Genomic DNA, 19,756 nt, shown 5'->3' with positions numbered 1-19,756 from the left:
GGGATCAAAGAATTTCCCATATTCCCAGGAAGATCTTTAAATTCTCTCCCCTGTTAGTCTTCAAGCTCTTTACTCCCAGGAAGAACCACTTTCTCTCCTTACCCTGAACCAAAACCCTTCAGCTTTATCTGTTTACTACCTCTCTGCTTCAGAAAGTTTTCCTTTGATTAACTTTACACAGTTGTAACGACGACGATGATGATGATGATGATGATGTAATCCACTCTACTGTCTAGGTCATCAGTGCTCATTTAATTGGTTTGCAGCTTACTACTTGATATTTATTTATAATATTAATATTCCTAATTGTGTTCATGCGCTAGTTTCTTTATTCAGTGCCTAAAGTCCTTAAGGAAAAGAATATTTAATTCAATTTTATTCAAAAAGTATTTCCTCCACTGTATGAGTCCCTGGCACATGGGTAAGTGCCTACTGAGTACAGAAAATATAGCAACTGCTGAGGAAAACATTTTTAAAATAGATGTGACACCATCTCTGCCTTGGATATGTTTATAGCTCTTTAGGAAATAAATCAAAAACATATATATGTTTTATATAGATTCATATATATTCATAAATTCATATATATGCATATGTTCCTATATATGATTTTATATATTCATACATATTCATATATATACATATATTCATATATATGTGTTTAAGTCCATTTTCTGTTGCTATAACAGAATATCACAGATTTGGTAATTTACAAAGAAAAGAGATTTATTTGGCTCATGATTCTGGAGGCTGGGAAGTCCAAGGGCATGGTGCTGGCATCTGCTTGGCCATCTGGTGAGGGCCCTCTTGCTGTGTCATAACATGGCAGAAGGGCATCACATGGCAAGGAAGAAAGAGGGCAAAAGTGTGCAAGACAGAGAGTAAACAGGGTCCAAACTTATTCTTTTATCTTTATCCCTTTATCACTCCCCAAGGTAACCAACCCACTTCTGCAATAATGGCATTAATCTCATTCATGAGAACAAAGCCCTCATGGCCTAATCATCTTTAAAGACCCCATGTCTCAGTACTGTTACAATGGCAACTAAGTTTCCAACACATGAACATGTGTCCTTTTGTAGGACACCTAGCAATATGTTTTTTAATATACTCATATACAACCACAGAAATAGTTCAGATTATTTTAGTTGATTTGCAGACATATACATTAATGTATAAGATACAAAAATATCTGTACGAATGACTACAATGTAAAGTGTAAGGACTGTAGAGGGAGTTGGGAAACCTTCCCAGAGGCCACACTTGAGCTAGACATAGGCAGATAAAGAATTTTCCAAGAAGAAGAGGAGATATTTCATACTAAATGACAGAAGAACTGTACAAAAGATACCAGGAGACATAAAATACTTGAAGTTCTGGGGAAGGGGAGGAGTTAGGCATTATTGATGTGGGGATGCACATCAGGGAAGGAAAGCTATGAGATGGGTCTAGACAGACGGGACGGGATGTGTTTGTTTTTAATCCTACAGGCAATGAGAGCCTTGGAAGGCTTCCCAGCAGAGGTAAGAAGAGAGAGAGAATATGCATTTCAGCAAGATCTTCCCAGGTAGCAGTTGGAGGGTGATTGGAAGTAGTGTTTTGTGAAATTGTAGAGCAGTCGGATGATTGCCAGAGTCTAGGTGGCCAATAATAACCTGAATGAAGGTGGTGGCGATGGGAGAAGTGGGAAGAGAAGGGAGGTACATCTCAGAGGAGGCTTGAGGACTGGTGGGATACGGCAGGGAATTGTAAGGAGGAGTTGAGAGGGGGCCTTCCTGAAGCAGTGCACAGCCTGCTTGGTGACAGAATTCCTTAATCTAGTAGCACCTTGGGTAGCTGAGTTTCTGTACCTAGTAATGCGAGGGTGGCATCCCAGTTTTGTGGGACCTGAAGCAATCAATCTGAGAGCCCTCTTAGAAAAAAAATACAAAATAGGTACAAAAGTGAATATACATTAGAGTAAGAGAAGAAATCACAACAAATTACAAACAATGAAAAGCTGAAAAATAATACAAATATTGGAAATGTTGTAATTTTATGATAACTTTATTAACTAACTGCCTGACATATCTGTAAAATATACTTTCCCTACATCTTTTCTCTGTATACTTTTTGTAAATTGAGATAAAAGTCATATAATACAAAGTCCACCATTTCAAAATGTACAGTTCCATGGTTCCATGGTTTTTATGTCATGCAACTACTATTTAATTGCAAAACATTTCCATCATCCTAAAAGAAATTCTGTCCCTATCAGCTGTCAGTCCCACTTCTCCCCTCCCCCATTCCCTGTAACTACTAATCTATTTTCTATTTCTATGGATTTGCCTGTTCTGGACATTTCATATAAATGGTATCATGTAATATGTGTCCCTTTGTGTCTGGCTTTTTTCACTCAGCATGTTTTCAAGGTTCATTTATGTTGTCACTTGTAACAGTACTTTATCCTTTATAGAAAACATTTGATGTGAAATTCACATAATATAAAAGTATTCATTTAAAGTGAACAATTCATTTAGTATGCTCTCAATGTTGTGCAACCACCACCTCTATCAAGTTCCAGAACATCCTTATCACCCCAAAAGGAAACCCAATACCTATTAAGCAGTTATTCTCAATGTCTTCCTTCCCAGCACCTGGTAACCACCAATCTACTCTCTATTTCTATGGATTTACCTAGTCTAGATATTTCACACCAATTGAATCATACAAGATGTTACCTTCTGTGTTACTCTTCACTTTGTGTAATGTTTTTGAGGTTCATACACATTGTAGCATGTATTGGTACCTCAGTGCTTTTTATGGCTAAATAATATTCCATTGTATGAATATACCACACTTTGTTTATCCATTCATCTGTTGATGGACATTTGGGGTTTTTCTGCCCTTTGACTATTATGAACAGTGCTACTGTGAACATGTGTGTACACATAGATTTTTGGAGTACCTGATTTCAATCATTTGGTGTATATGTCTAGGAGAGGAATTGTTGGGTCATATGATAATTTAATGTTTAATTTTTGAGGAATTGCCAAACTGTTTTCAAAAGCAGCTACACCACTTTATATTTTTATGTGAATGTACAAGATTTCCAATGTCCCCAAATCCTACCAACACTTGTTTTCCTTTTTTTTTTTTTTCATTATTAGGTGTGAAGTGTCATCTCATGTCATTTTGATTTACATTTTCCTAAAACTAATAAGGAAGGGCATCTTTATATGTACTGGTTTGCCACTTGTGTGTGTGTGTATATACATGTGTATATGTATATTTGAGAAATAGCCTTTCAATCCTTTGCCCATCTTTAAATTGAAGTACTTGCCTTTTTGTTATTGGGTTGTAAGAGAGCTTTATGTATATTGGATATTAAACCCTTATCAGGTATATTATTTGCAAATATTTTCTCCCATTATGTAGGTTATTTCTTTAATTTCTCGATAGTGTCCTTTGACACTATCAAGTCTTCTGTTTCCTTACTGATCTTCTGTCTGTTTGCTCTATCCATTATTGAAAATTGGATATAGAAATCTCCTACAGTTATCATTGAATTGGCTATTTCTTCCTTCAGTTATGTTAGTTTTTGTTTTGGTGTTTTGGGGCTCTATTTTTAGGTGTATGCAGGTTTATAATTGTTATATCTTCTTGAGGGACTGAGCCTTTTATTATTATATGGTGTCTTCTTTGTCTCTAGTAGCATTTTTGCACTAAAATCTATTTTGTCTGATACTAATGTAGCTACTCCAGCTCTCTTTTGGTTATGTTTTGTATGAAATATCTTTTTCAGTCTTTTGTTTTCAACAAATTTGTGTCTCTAAATCTAAAATGAGTCTCTTATAGACATCATAGAGTTGGATCATGTTTTTTCATATATCTTACCAATCTCTGCTTAATTCTTCCTTAATTCCTCCATTACTGCCTTCTTTTATGTTAAGTAGGTATTTTCTACTGTGCCATTTAAATTCCTTTGTCATTTCTTTTACTATATTTTGAGTTATTTTCCTAGTGGCTGCCCTGGCAATTATAATTAATCTCTTAATTTATAACAATTTAGCTAAGATTAATACCAACTTAATTTCAGTATACCAAATCTTTGTTTCTCCATAGCCCCATTCTCCCCACCCACCCCCATGCTATGCTGTTATTGTTACAAATTGTATTCATATACATTGTGTGTCTATCAACATAGATTTATAAACATTGCTTTATACAGTTAAATCAGAATAGGGTGAAAAAAGTGTTACAAAAAAATTAAACATATTTTATATTTCCTTATATAGTTATCTTTACCAGAGATCTCTATTTCTTCATATGGCTTTTAGTTACCATCTAGTGGTCTTTTATTTCAGCCAGAAATACTTTCTTTAGCACTTGTTGGAAGGTCAGTCTATTAGCAACAAACAGTTTTTGTTCATCTGGGAATGTCTTCATTTATTTTTATTTTTGAAGGATACTTTTGCCAGATACAGAATTCTTCACTGACTTTTTCTTACTTTGAGTCCTTTGAATACATCATTCCAGTGTCTTCTAACCTCCGGGATTTTTAATGAGATATCAGTAATTAATCTTATTGAGGATTCCTTCTTGAATCTTATAGAGTTGAGTTGTTTTCCACTTGCTGTTTTCAAGGTTCTTTGTCTTTGTCTTCGGTTATGGTGTATCTCTCTATGGATCTTCTTAGTTTATCCCACTTACAGTTCATTTAGCTTCTTGGACGTATAGATAACATTTTTCATCAAATTTTAGTTTCCTGCCATTATTTTTAAAAATACTCTCTCTCTCTCTCTTTCTCTCTCTCCTCCCCTCTCCTCTCCTTCCAGGACTACCATTATGTGTATGACAATATCTCACAGGTCTCTAAGGTTTCTATTAATTTTTTGCTTTATTCATTTTTCTTTTGTTCCTCAGAGTGGATAATCTCAATTGATCTATCTTCAAGTTGCTGATTCTTCTCTGCTACCTGTTTAAATCTATGATTGGAATCATGTTTAAATCTCGATGGGATAGTCCCCTAGTGATTTTTTTTTTTATTTCAGTTACTGTACTTTTGAGTGCCAGAATGTCTATTTGGTTATCTTAAAAATAAAATTTCTATCTTTTTATTTATTTATTCATTCATTCATTCATTCATTCATTCGTTTATTAGACAGAGTCTCACTCTGTCACCCAGGTTGGGGTGTAGTGGCATGACTTCAGCTTACTGCAGCCTCAATCTCCCAGGCTTAAGCAATCCTCCCACCTCAGTCTCCCAAGTAGCTGGGACTACAGGCTCGCACCGTCACACCCAGCTATTTTTTCTATTTTTAGCTTCATGATGTTGCCCAGGCTGATATCGAACTCCTCAGATCAAGCAATCTGCCCACCTCGGCCTCCTAAAGTGCTGGGATTATAGGCATGTGCCACCACACCTGGCTTTTTAATTAGTATTTTTACTTGGTTACACATTATTCTGATACTTTTAGTTCTTCAGATATTGTTTCCTTTAGCTTTTTAAACATATTTCAGGTAACTAATTTAAAGTGTATTCTAGTAAGTCCAATGCCTAGGCCTCCTCAGAGATAGTTTCTATTAATTTTTTTCCTGTGTTTGAGCCATACATTTTTTGTTTCTTTGTATAGCTCATAATTTTTTTGTTGCAACCTGGATGTTTTGAGTATTATGTGGAAACTCTGGAAAATAAATTCTCTCCTCTCCCCAGGGTTTATTGTTGCTGCTGTTCATTTCATTTTCATTTGTTTGTTGAATGATTTTTATAAACTAATTCTGTAAAGTCTGTATTCTTTGTCATGTTTGACCATAGAAGTCTCTGTTCTGTTAGAACAATAATTGGACGGAGATTTCCTCAATGCCTGAGACCAAAAATATTACAGTGTTTGCTTAGAGACTCTGTGTGTTGGGGCCTGCCTTTAATGCTTAGCCAGGCAGTTTACAATTCTGCCTTAGCCTTCACTTCCTTCTTGTGCAAAGCTTCAAGGTCATCCAGAAGTCAGAGCTTAGGGTCTTGATAGGTTTTTCCTGGGCAGGCATGGCTTCTAGATTCCCAGGAATATGCATGTACTTTTCAAAGCCTTCATGAACATAACATTTCCCAGCCTTTTCTTCCTAACTTTTTGGTTTATAGCAACTATTTATCACCTCAGGCAGCAGACACTAAAACATTTGCCTGTAAATGCTTTTGACAAATGCTCCCACTACCCCCACATAGCTTTTGGACTGGGTGAGTTCCAGGTCAAGTGAAATAAAGACAAGCCTTTTGAGCAGTCTTCCATGGAGCCTTCACATATGTTTTTAAAGGGAAAATAATTACAATTCTTTTTAAATGAGTTTTATTCTAATAGTCACTCCAATACCAGGAATGCCGGCTATTCCTTTTACAGGCATCTCTGAGCTGGGTGTGAGGTGTGGTCCAAGAGAAAGTTAAAATGCCACAAAGCTTACTGAGATTCAGTGCTTTCCTTGAATAAACACTGCCTGGTGGCTGCAAGCCTCTAGTTAATTTCCAGAGTTGAAAAAAGTTGCTTCTGATCATTTTTGCCAGTTTTTTTATTTGCTTTTATGGAGGGGTAAAATATTAGAGTGCCTTACTCCACCATTTTCACTGAAATCACTCCTCTCTGTATTCTTTCTTATTGCCTCTTGCTATGACAACAATTTTGTAATATAATTTTTCATTGAAAAAGTAGAAAGATAATCCAATTTTTCCTTTATCATGGTTGACCACTTTTTTTTTTTTTTGAGAAGGAATCTTGCTCTGTCACCTAGGCTGGAGTGCAGTGGCGCAATCTCGGCTCATTGCCAGCTCCGCCTCTCGGGTTCATGCCATTCTCCTGCCTCAGCCTCCTGAGTAGCTGGGACTACAGGCGCCTGCCACCATGCCCAGCTAATTTTGTATTTTTAGTAGAGATGGGGTTTCACCGTGTTAGCCAGGATGGTCTCAATCTCCAGACCTTGTGATCCACCCACGTCGGCCTCCCAAAGTGCTGGGATTACAGGTGTGAGCCACCGTGCCCAGCCGACCACATTTTTTTGAAAAAATTATGAATAGTTTAGAAAAATTCCTTACAGTTGGTGAGCAATCTCACTTTTACAACTCCTCAAGTTTCCTGCTCAGGCAAGGCTTCTTGCTCAAGCAAGACTTCAGAAAACTCCAGCTCTTTGATCATAGTTGGCATGGCACTGGCAACGAATACCCTGGCAGCTAGTAAGCATTGGCCAGGCTCTTGCACCTCTTCCTCTTCCCCATATTCTGCCCTTGCTGGTCTGGTCCTGGGGTTAGGGAGCAAGATGCCTAGAAACATGGTCCTAATGGACCCTGCACAGGGTGCAGAGCAGCCTCAGTTTCAGATACTCTTCCAGGGATAAAAGATAGGGTCCAAGTGCTCCCTGGCAGCTGCCAAACGCAAGTTATCACAGCGGGGCAGACAAATATGAAGGTATTGCTGGCAGTCTGCCAACCCCACTCACAATCCTGGGACCACTGGCAGGGTATAGACAAAATATGAATATAATATCATATAGACAAATACTATAGACAAAATGAATATAAAACCAACCTAAATGCCCATCAGTTGATGACTGGATAAACAAAACGTGCTATGTCCATACCATGTATTTTTATTTGGCAATAAAAATAAATAAAGCTCTGATACATGCTGCAACATGGGTGAACCTTGAAAACATCATGTTATGTGAAAGAAACCAGTCACAGAAAACCGTGTATTATATGACTCCACTTATATGAAATGTCCATGAAGGGAAGAGGTGGCTAACGCTTGTAATCCCAGCACTTTGGGAGGCCAAGGTGGGCAGACTGCCTGAGCCCAGGAGTTTGAGACTAGTGTAGGGCCACGTGGGGAAGCCCTGTCTCTACTAAAATTACAAAAAATTAGCTGGGCATGGTCGCGCATGCCTGTAGTCCCAGTTACTTAGGAGGCTGAGGTTGGGGGATCACTTGAGCCCATGAAGTCAAGGCTGTCGTGAGCCGTGATCATGCCACTTTACTCCAGCCTGGGTAACAGAGCAAGACTCTGTTTCAAAAAAAGAAAGAAAGAAAAACAAAAACATGTCCAGAATGGGCAAATCTATAGAGACGGAAAGTAAATTAGAGATTGTCTGGTTTTCAGGGGTTTAGGGGCAGGAATGAGAAGACATTGCTAATGGGTCCACAGTTTTTTTGTGGGGGTTTACAGTAATGAAAATCTACTAACAACTCTGTGAATATACTGTAAAAAGAACACTGAATTGCAGAGCTTAAAAGGGGACATCCTATGTTATTTGTATTACATCTCAATAAAGCAGTTAAAAAGTAGAAATATAGCGGGGCCCCCTCCTTGGGGAGTACTCCTGCCTTCATCACATATGAGAGCTGCTGCTGCTGCTTCTCTCTGCAGGGCAGCACTCAGCCTAGGACAGGACCCCTACAAGGGAGGAGCCCTGAAGCTTGAGTGACATTAGCTCCTTAGACACCTGCCTTTGGATTTGTGCCAAGCATTCTTCTTTTCTTTCATCCTTTCTTTTCTCTTTTTTGTTTTGGTTGTTTACTTCAGGGTGCCAAAACTTTTTTTTAAGTCATGTTGATATGGTTTGGCTGTGTCCCCACCCAAATCTCATCTTGAATTGTAGCTCCCAGAATTCCCATGTGTCATGGGAGGCACCCGGTGGGAGGTAACTGAATCATGGGGGTGGGTTTTTCCCATGCTGTTCTCATGATAGTGAATAAGTCTCATGAGATCTTATAGCTTTATAAAGGGGAGGTCCCCTGCACATTCTCTCCTATCTGCCACCACGTAAGACATGTCTTTTGCCTTCCATCATGATTGTGAGGCTTCCCCAGCCATGTGGAACTGTGAATCCATTAACCCTCTTTTTCTTTATAAATTCCCCAGTCTCGGGTATGTCTTTATCAGCAGCGTGAAGACGGACTAATAGACATGTTGACAGACATATACTCAGTTAACATTCCTATCTTTACTGGGTGAGAACAAGCTCACAAGTTAACATTAAGGGAGGTGGGTGGAAGGTGACCAGGGTGATAAAAGGGAGGAGTCACATTTCAGAAATGTATTGATATAGGAGCAAAAATATATTGACACATGAGTTCCTCAATTTAAAACAACTGAAATCAACAAAACCAATCTTTTCTTTTTTTCCCCTTTCACTATAAACCCTAAGACTGACAGTGACATTGGGGGCAGCTGCCAGAATATCAGTCCGCCTCCAAAGCAACAGATGTTACAGATACCTTTGCAATCACATCTAAGGGATGCCTCAGCTCGTGGAACTCCACGCCAATCACACTCTGTAGTTTAGAACATGCTCATTTGAATATGCACAGAGATAGAAAGTAAATTAGAGGTTGTTTTGGGTTTCAGAGGATAGAGGCAGGAATGAGAAGAGACTGCTAATGTGTCCACAGTTTTTTTGTGGGGGGTGACAGAAAAGAAAAATCTTTTCCTGATTTTTCCATTGTCATTTCCAGAACTGTGCCATAACTCTCTTCACACAACTTTACTTTGATTGACTTTTGGTTGAGTCATGGGAATTTATGGCACTAGAATAATCTGACAATTTTGGTGAGTTCACATCTCGAAATGGGGATAATAGTCTCTTTCCAGTTCTGTCATCACTATTACTACTATTATTATTATTACTATTATTATTTTGAGACAGAGTCTCACTCTGTCACCCAGGCTGGAGTGCAGTGGCTCGATCTTAGCTCACTGCAACTGCCACCTCCCGCTTCAAGTAATTCTCCTGCCTCAGCCTCCCAAGTAGCTAGGATTACAGGCGTCTGCCACTGTGCCCGGCTAATTTTCGTATTTTTAGTGGAGACAGGGGTTCACCATCTTGCCCAGACTGGTCTTGAACTCCTGACCTCGGGATCCACCCATCTCAGCCTCCCAAAGTGCTGGGATTACAGGCGTGAGCCACAGCACCCAGCCTACCATTATTTATTAAGAGATTATTGTCCGCATGATCCCAGGGTTTGGCAAGCCATGAAGGCCTGTTCTTGTCAAGGGGCTTACCCACCTCAAAAAATATTGTGCTTTGGCAAAACCTACAGGCTGATTGATCCTTAAATCTGCTTTGGCTTCATTCTGGGCACACAGTTGGACTATATTTCCCAGTCTGCCTTACAGGCTGGGGTGGTCATTTAAGCGAGGCCAGTAGAACATGGGCAGAAATGGTGTGCATCATCCCGAAGTCTGTTCCCCATGGGAGCCACTCTGCTTGTCTCCCCTTCCAGCTGGCTGGAATGGAAATGACTCCTAGGACAACCTGAAGGAAAAAGGGCTGGGTCTCATACCACCATCAGAATTCCCACATGGCACTGTTAAAAGAACAGAACTTTTATTGCATTAGACACTGATGTTTGGAGGTTTCTCTGGACCTGGGGATACCCTAACTAGTATAAATGTCTTTTAAATGAGCCTAACCATACCAAAATTTTTGCTCTGTAACAAACTACCCCAAAACTCAGTGATTTCAAACAACACACTTCTCTTAGCTCACATTTTCTGTGGGTCTACAATTCAGGCATAGCTTACCTGGGTGTCTCTGGTTCACAAAGCTGCAATCAAGGTGTCAGCCAGGGCTGCAGTCATCTCTAGGCTGGGACTGGTGGAGAATCCACTTCTCAGCTCCCTCCCGTGGTTGTTGGCAGCATTTAGTTCTTTGATGGTTTTTGGTCTGAGGGCCTCAGATCCTTGCTGGCTGTTGGCTAAAGACATCAGTTCCTTGCCAGCAGGGCCACTCCACAGGGCGGCTGATGACATGGCAGCTGGCTTCCCTGAGAGCAAACAAGTGAGAGAGCCAAAGAAGATATTCCAGATGGAGCTGGAGTCTCTTTGTAACCTAATCTTGGAGGTGACATCCCATCACTTTGGGCACGTTCTATTGCTAAAAACAAATTGCTAGTTGTAGCCCATGCTCAAAAGGAGGGAATCCTACTCAGGGGCATAAATACCAGGAGGTGGGGACTATTGTGGGCCATCTTTGACGCTGCCCACCACACTATGCAATTTTTTTTCCTGAAGATTTGTGGACACCTTTTAAAATGCTCTAAAGCTGTGTTGCCCAATATGGGAACCATTAGTCACATGTGACTATTTAAATCCAATTGAATCAAAAATTCAATTTCTCAGTCACACCAGGCACATTTCAAGTCCTCAATAACCACATGTGCCTAGTGGTTCCCATATTAGTACAGATATAGAACACGTCCATAACTGCAGAAAGTTCTATTATTGCAAAAACAAAACAAAACAAACTCTCTTTAAAAAGCTGGATTCCCCCAGAATTGTGAAGCAACAAACAGGGCTTCTGGGACACCTAGACTGTGTTTCTGCATTCATTTCCACCCATTTTGTTCATTTGTCTCCTTTCAGGAACTCAGTTGTAACTAGTCTCCTTCCTGAAAACCTACTGTCAAAAGAAAAATAATTAAACAAATTCACACTAAGATGTAAATGACTATCTTTTAACCTCATCATTTCAAAGGTACTTCCATTCTAACCAGACTAAATCTGAATAAATAAATTCTCAGTTGTGGCACTTTGGATATCAACTCTACTGATTTGGAGGAGGACTTTCAAGTCTTCTGAATGCTTTGAAACTCAAAGACTCTGACATGAGAACACTCACCCCATCTATCTGACTTTTGAATTTTGGTTTTCACATGAATTTTTCCATAGTAGGGAGTAACCTGGGTCTGGATGTGTTCTAATTTAGCATCATATGTGCAAACATCAAACAAATAATATAGCAGACTCCATCTCTATGTACTCATAACGGGGGACCACCATATCGGGAGAACTACATTATGACATCTTAACACCTAGTTTTTCCTCTTGGATTCATCATTTAACTTGTTTCAACCAGAAGGTTGCCTTTCAGCTGCAGAGGGAAAACAGAAGTTCTTTGACAGAGGAGACAAAAAGCGCTGGAAATGACTCGTTGGTGTTTTTCCACCTGAGCAAGCAGGCCCCCTTACTAGATCCTGGTGCACAGTATTCACCTTCGCGGCTCGACAAGGATCTTTGCTGGTACAAATATAATTTGCCACATTGTCTCCATGTGATCGTTTGGAAGCTGAGGGAGCTGTCTCTAATGACAGGTCACAAACATCCGCGACGCGGGCTCCTTTATGCCTGCTCGGCTGGGCTGGGCGCTGGCAGCCTTGCCACTCAGGCGCTTGTTTTTGTTATGGAACAAAAGCCTCACTCCCAGCTGTGGCGCCAAAATCTCGTTGCACTGTTCGAGTAACTGACAGCTCCGGAGCTAGGCGTAGGGGAGGCCTGGATGGGCTCCTCCAATAGCAGCCGCCTCTTTCTGCGAACCCCCGCGTGTTTACAGGCAGCCGGCTGCCGGCGGGAAGGAGGCGAGGACGAAAACCAGGACGTGGAGTTCGCTCGGAGTGGGCGTGCGCCCTTGCAGAAAAGTGAAAGCCTACTGGGGCCCGCCGCCCAGGAGGAATCCGCATTGTAACCCCGAGCCTGCGGCTGAGATGCTGTGAATTTATTTGGTTCACCCCATCAGCCTGCAAGAAATTCCCCTGACAAGTTCCTCATGGTTTCGTGTGTCCAGTCTTTGTGATTACAGGGCGATGATGTAGCACAGAATGTGTCCACTTCACTCAGAGGGACTGATAGATAGAAAACCATTTAAATCCCCAGTCCCCTACTAGGTGCTCTGGAATGACACGAAGGTGAGAGAAACGGAAGGAGGAGATCACTTATGTTAGAGATGTTCATCACTTCTTGCAAACCTTCAAAGCAAAAAGTCATGACCATCATCATTAAAGAAGGCTTATTAAACATCGTGTTGTGTGTGCTGCTGTTGTGTATTGAACCGTGAAACTAAAAAGAGCTTGTCCATGCCTTGAGTGGCTAATAGATTCACATAGCAAAGAAAGTTCCCAAGTTATACTAGATAAAATGAGTATGCTAAATGTCTATCCTTTGCATACCAGGATAAATAAAATAGATTCATGCCTGGTCAGTGAATACTAGGAGCCTCTAGCTTTGGGGAAAATTAAATGACTTTGAGGTTGTGGTTTCTGAGTTGGAGGCCACAGCGCTCAGAGCTCTGGAGTTCACGGCTGAGCGCCTTTGCTGTTCCGCACATGTTGGTCGTGTGATTTTGAAGACAGCCAACTTCTCTAGGCCTGGCTTTCTCATCAATGAGGTGGAGATAATACATCCAGACTTGCTGTGAGGATGCAATGGGATGACTTACGTAAAGTGCCTGACACTTAAGCACACAACAAACAAATGTAATTTGACGCCAGTATCTGACAGAGAATTTTCCAGATATGATAGGCCACTTTCTTCAGCATAAAGAGAAAGCATTTAGGGAAGTATACCTAGCACATGGTGAGCACCCAATAGTGTTGATGCTGCACTGCTGAGCATATCAGGTAAATCCTGGCTTTGCCAGTTGCCAGTTATGTTTCTTGATTCTCTGTGCCTTGATTTTCTCATCTATAAAAATGGATATAATAATAGTACCTACCCCATAGGACATCAGAGGATCAAACAAGATAACTCATGTAAAGAAACCAGCAGCTGGCAGCACTCAGTAAGTGTCATCTAGTACTATTATTGCTTTCACATCTGATGGATGATTGTTCTAGGAATTATGACTTGGTGATAGACTATATTCTCCTCAGTATAATTTAAAGACAGGAGGAAAATGAAGTTTTCCCTAGGAGCATTCCTCATCTTCCCTTCCATGCCACTCTTCCCCTTAGATTTGGGTTCTGTCCTCTTCTCTGGGCTCCCACAATCTTTTCACTGAAAACCCGGGACTCTGCATTCTGACATCCACCAGTCTTGTCCTCTCTGCAGCAATTCTTTTTTGAACTTTGAATTCTGAGATTATTTTAGAGTCACATGCAGTTGTAAGAAATAACAGAGATTATGTGTACATAGTTTTGTCCAATGTACCCAGTTTTCCCCAACGGTAACATCTTGAATAACTGCAGTAGAATATCCTAACTAGGATATTGACAATACAATCCACCTTGTTCAGATTTCACAAGTTTTACAGTTGTGTGTGTGTGTGTGTGTGTGTGTATTTAATTCTGTGTGTATTTACAGTGCAGTAGTGTGTGTGTATTTAATTCTGTTTAATTCTATCACACATGTAGATTCATCGAATCTACATGTGTGATAGAATTAAACAGAATTAAAATACAGAACAGTTCCAACACAAGGGTCCCTTGTCTGACATGCTTTGTACCCCAGATGTTCACTGATTACACTACCGCCATTTACCCATAAAATTCCTTTCTCCTGATTTCAAAGACTTGTTAAGAGCTTGATTAACCCATCACAAATAGCTAAGGTATTGAACATTGTAAATGTAAATAAGGTAAATGTTGAATGGGTCATACCCCCCCCAAGATAATTGTATTCTTAGAGAGAGCTTTAATGATTTTACTCTGAGGAATGAGCAGTAGAAGACTATCAGGAAACAAGATAAAATAAAATGGGGCTCAGAATTATCACTCAATTTTAAATGTGCATGAAAAAACGGGGGTGGAAAAGAAACATGGAAGCCTGAAAGGGCTCCAGGCTGATTCATCTAAGTGGAAGTCTAACACACACACACACCCCTTCAAAGTGAGAAAGGTTTCAGAAACTTCTCCCTTCACCCAGCCATAACCCATTGAAATACATAAGAAATCTCACTGCTGCAGGTGAAGAACTAGATCTCAGTCCCGCTCCCTTCGAACAACACAGGGCAGAAGTTAAACAATCAGTCATTGCCCAGGCTTGCAATTGCTGTCAAAAGAGTCCTATTTGATTGGGGTGAACCACAACCTTTTAGTACTGATGATGCTGACATAATCTTAAGGTGCAGAAAGCACTGGCTTAAAGCCTGGCAGGGGATGAGGATAAAAGGCATTCCTTTTACAAATTTTGACATCATTAGAATGCACAATGCTCCACAAACACTTTTCCTTCTACGACTTTGTGCAAAACCTGAGAAGTACAGCGCAAAATCCTGGGAGTGGAGGAATGGAAGCCTTGGTCCTCAAGTGCTTCATATCACAAGGTTGTCCTAGTGAGGAGTAGATCTGGGGCACAAGTCCTATGGCTTTCTGTGGTGCTACTGGCAAATGAAAAAAGGGTCGAGGGATTGGGAAGAGAAAATGTGAAGAAGTGGCATTGCCAGAGGTGACTCAGTTGTTTCTTATGTTCTAAAAGTGTGGTACCTGGACCAGTTGTTTCTTATGTTCTAAAAGTGTGGTACCTGGACCAGCAGCCACAGCAGCACCTTGCAACTTGTTAGGATGCAAATTTTCCAACCCCAACCCACATTTTTTAAATCAGAAACTTTGAGGCTGTGTGCCATTAATCTGTATTTTAACAAACTCTCCAAGTGATTCTGATGCGTGGTGAAATTTGAGAACCACTAGAGATCTTCCAACAGAAAGATTCACAAAAAAGTTTCTTGGCCCACTAGAATGGTTAACCATTCTTATGGGGATATAGATGGAATAGTCAAGTACTACTTTAAATTCAGGAAAGAAATGTTTAAGCAACTATAAATGCTAAGCACTATTTTAGGGACAGAGGGATGAACAAGACAGACAATATCTCAATGTCATAGAGCTGCTGGTAATAAGTGCTCAAAAGAAAAAAAGAATCAGGTTTGAAGTGCAATTTTAGCAGGGTGGTGAGGAAAGGCCTTTTTAAGGACATATTTGAGCAGATGCCTGAATGAAGCTCAGGAGCCAGCAGGTCGTGGTAAGTCTGGAAGCAGGGTGTTCTGGCAGACAGGACTAGAAGTGTGACAGCCTGATATGAACATGAGTTTAGTGTAATGAAGGAAGACAGAAGGCAATGTGGATAGGTAGGAGGGAAAGGAGAGCAGGTTACTGAGAGGTGGGATGGAGATAGTAATATAATTATAGGGTCTTCTGGGCCTCAGAAGGAAAATTTGGATATCTTCTCAGTGTGATGGGATACTATCAGAGGCTCTTGGACAGGGGAGGGGCATACTTTATTTTTTGTATATTTTACACAATTTGGCTGCTATGTGGAGGTCTGCCTGTAGGAGGACAAAAGTGAAACAATAAGACTAGTTAGGAGGTAGTCCAGGTTAGGGATGATAAGTGCTAGATAAATATCATAGTGGTGGAGGTGGTGGGATTGGTTGGATTTAGGATGTATTTTGAAGATAAATCTGGGATGTGGGAGAAAAAGAGAGGTCGAGAATGACTTCTAAGTTTTTATCTTAAACTAACAGGTAAATTGCAGTGCCACTTATTAAAGTGAGCAAAACTGGGGAAGAAACAAGTTTGAAAAGAAAACCAAGAATTTATTTCAGTCCTGTTAAGTTTGAGATGCCTAATAGACATCCAACTATTGTGTTGGATATCAAATATATGAGTCTGCCACTCAACAGGTAGACTGAATTGAACTTATTACCTTATAGTGTGTGTGACTAGGTTAGAAAAATACTATTCATTAAATGTTACAGGTAAATATTTTTTAAAAAGCATCTTATAAAATAATACTTTGCTTTTTGCCATTCTCACACTCCTTGAATCTATTTTATTAAAACTTTTCACACGAGTCTTTTACATCAGGTCTCTGCCATCACTAGAACCACTTTCCCAAACTTTAACAGTTCTGCAAACCACGTCATATTCACCTCCAGATAAGCTGTTTGACATGCAGCACTTTTGGGGCCTGTATATGATGTTGCCTCTGGATACTTTATCCTAACCACAAAAAAATCAATCTCCTGCTTGTGGTCTACAAGTCAAAATCACACACCATCTTGCTTTATAAGGTGGTATATAGATTTCTCATTTCCAGCAACATCCATCAGTGGTGATTCCGGGAAAATGGCCAAATCTAAGTTAAATTTCTTTGACTCTTGGTTTTACTGAATGCATCAAATGGCCTCTGGAAAAATTTTGAACTAACATTGACTGAGACTGCTTCAGGCTAATGTGCCTCCTTCGAGCAATACTTCGTTGTACAAAATTGAGTATTTGAGTGGGCACCCTTGTAAAATTGGAGATGCCATGAGGGACAAATATAAGACATAAGACATCTGTCTCTTTCTTGAAGGATCCTTTTATAATATAAAAACATCATATAGGCCAGGCATGGTGGCTCATGCCTGTAACCCCCCAGCATTTTGGGAGGCCAAAGGCAGGTGGACTGCTTTGAGCTCAAGAGTTTGACACCGGCCTAGACAAGATGGCAAAACCCAATCTCTAAAAAAAAAAAAAAAAATACAATAATTAGCCAGGCATGGTGGTGCACACCTGTAGTCCCAGCTACTTGGGAGGCTGAGGTCAGAGGCTGGCTTGAGCCTGGGATGCTGAGGTTGCAGTGAGCCAAGATCCCACCACTGCACTCCAGCCTGGGTGATAGAGCCAGACCTTGTCTCAAAAAGAAAAAAAACATATACTCCAGCATAAATGTATAAAAGCTAAACATCACTGAGGCAGAATACCCTTGGGCCCTGAAACCCATGCCCACCTTCTGCAAGGGGGAAGAGCTGAGGTTCTTGGGAAAGAATCTTCAGATAGTCATTCTGGTGTATTCTGGCATGAGTTCACCATGAGCACAGCTAAGATCACATAACACAGGGGTGCAGAGAGAGAGGGTTGGTGTTGCTGGTCTGGGTGCATGGGTGTGCCTTTAGGCACAGTGATCTGAGTGGAGAAATGAGGGTGTCAAGTGTTTTTAACCTGAGTGTTCACATTTCTCTGTGCCACCAAAATCATGGTTTCTGGGTTAAGAAGAAGAGAGAATGTGACAATAGAGGAGCTTCTCCGTAGACCACCTAACATGGGCTTAACTTCCCTCTCTCAGGACTGTTGATTCACATGTGACATGGGGTGATGTCAATGCTGCGGCCATTGCAGAATTCTTCCATCACAGCAGCCTAGCCTAAGCCCTACACAAAGAGTCATGCTCAAAAGTAGGACTACGTGGTCTTTGGATTGAAAATGTCAAAAATAACTGTGGGTTGTTTTTTTTTTAATTAGACGCACCCTGGCCTTGTAAAGAATATGTTCCTGCCCCCAGAGTGGAGATCCTAAACTCTTTGTTGTCTCTGTGCCTTTGTTCCTGAGGCCACCTCTCCCTGGAATGTCTCTTTCTGCCACCTCATCATCTGGTAGATCCCCACTCATTCAGCTCCGGCAGGACTTCATCCAACAAGCTTTCCTTGACCCACTGTGGCCGTCTGGCTCTCTCCTCCATGATCCCCAAATTCCCTTGCAGATCCGGATCATGCCTTTACCAGAGGGATCATAATAATGTGTTCATGCATCTGTATCTTCTGTTAGACTGGGAGCTCCTAAGCATAGGAACTGAGCAACAGTCGGGGCATTTCAGGGTCCACCAAAGAACTTAGGACATATAGTAGACACTCAATAACCTTTCCTGAGGGCTGACCTTCAGAGCTGCATTTTGTTTTGTTTTGCATTATAATTTTCCATTTCTGTCTCAAGTGCAGTCCGTGAGAAGGGACAGCAGATCCAGCCACCTATATGGTATCATTTGAAAGGTGTCGGGCAGGGTTCTCAGCCTCCAAAATCTGATATCTCTCCTGTCATCTGAATCAAACCTGAAATTACTCCACTAAAAGTTACCCTCTCATTTAGGTCCTCAAGAATCACTGGCTATCTACAAATACCAATGAGGAGAATAAGTCCCTAAGTTCAATGCTGCTTAATATGCATAGGAGCCACCTGGGGATCTTATTAAACTCCTGATTTGGATGTGAGGGAGAGGACAGAGATTCTGCATTTCTAATAAGCTCCCAAATGATGCTGATGCTGCATGATGGCAGACCACACTTTGGGTAGCAATGGTCTGGCAGTCAATCTCAACTTTAGCTTTCATTAGAATCACTTGGAGGGTCTCTTCAACCAGATGGCTGAGTCCCACTCCCAGGTTTTCTCATTCAGTTGGCCTGGGGTGTGGCCTGAGGTTTTGCATTTCTTGCAGGTTTTCAGGGGCTGCAGCAGCTGCTGCTGGTCCATGGACCATACTTTGAGAACCACAGTTTATAGCCACTGAGTTCACTTTCTTCACTCCTGAGAGACACTGGAGACTATCACACAGTCCTGCAGCAGAAACACCATTTGTGGGAGCCAATTTCAGCTGCTCTTTCATCAAGCCATGACTTGGCTGTCACCTGTATCTGCTCCATCTCTCATTCTACTTGGGGCCACTGCCAATTTCTCATCTTCAAAACTTCTTTCTCTTTATCTTATTTCCTTTGCTCCTTCCTTTAATAATACATTTTAAAAAAATAAAAATCTGAAATGTCCATTCGCTACTTCCTCGATTCCCAGCAATTTAAAAAATCCACAGCAATCTGGCTTTCATTCTCTTGTTAGCATCACCAACTCGTTACCAAATTCTGTGGCAATTTTCAGTCCCCATCTACAATCTCAAGGCACATTCAGTTACTTTGGCAAACATCGCTGTAGGCTCATCATTCCTACACAGACAGGGTCCAAGCAGGAAAACATAAAAAGTGTTTAAAAATACAAGAAACTTCATCCCCACTGGTGATGGAAGAGCTGAGAAAATAGACGGGTTATTGAGACAGGAATCAGTAAGGACAGGAACCTGCTACACTTTTAGGCTACAGGGACAAAAAGAGGTGGGGCTATCACAGCCAGTGGCTTCTTGACCTGTGGAAACAGGGAGAGCTGGAGTCTTGGAGGATATAAGCCCAGTGGGAGGACAGCCCTACAGCAGAGAGATGGGGA

The sequence above is a fragment of the Homo sapiens genome, chromosome 8 (genome assembly GCF_000001405.40).
Source record: "Homo sapiens chromosome 8, GRCh38.p14 Primary Assembly".
NCBI lineage: Eukaryota > Metazoa > Chordata > Mammalia > Primates > Hominidae > Homo > Homo sapiens.
The sequence above is the reverse complement of the archived record's forward strand: the minus strand, read 5'-3'. Positions refer to the sequence as shown.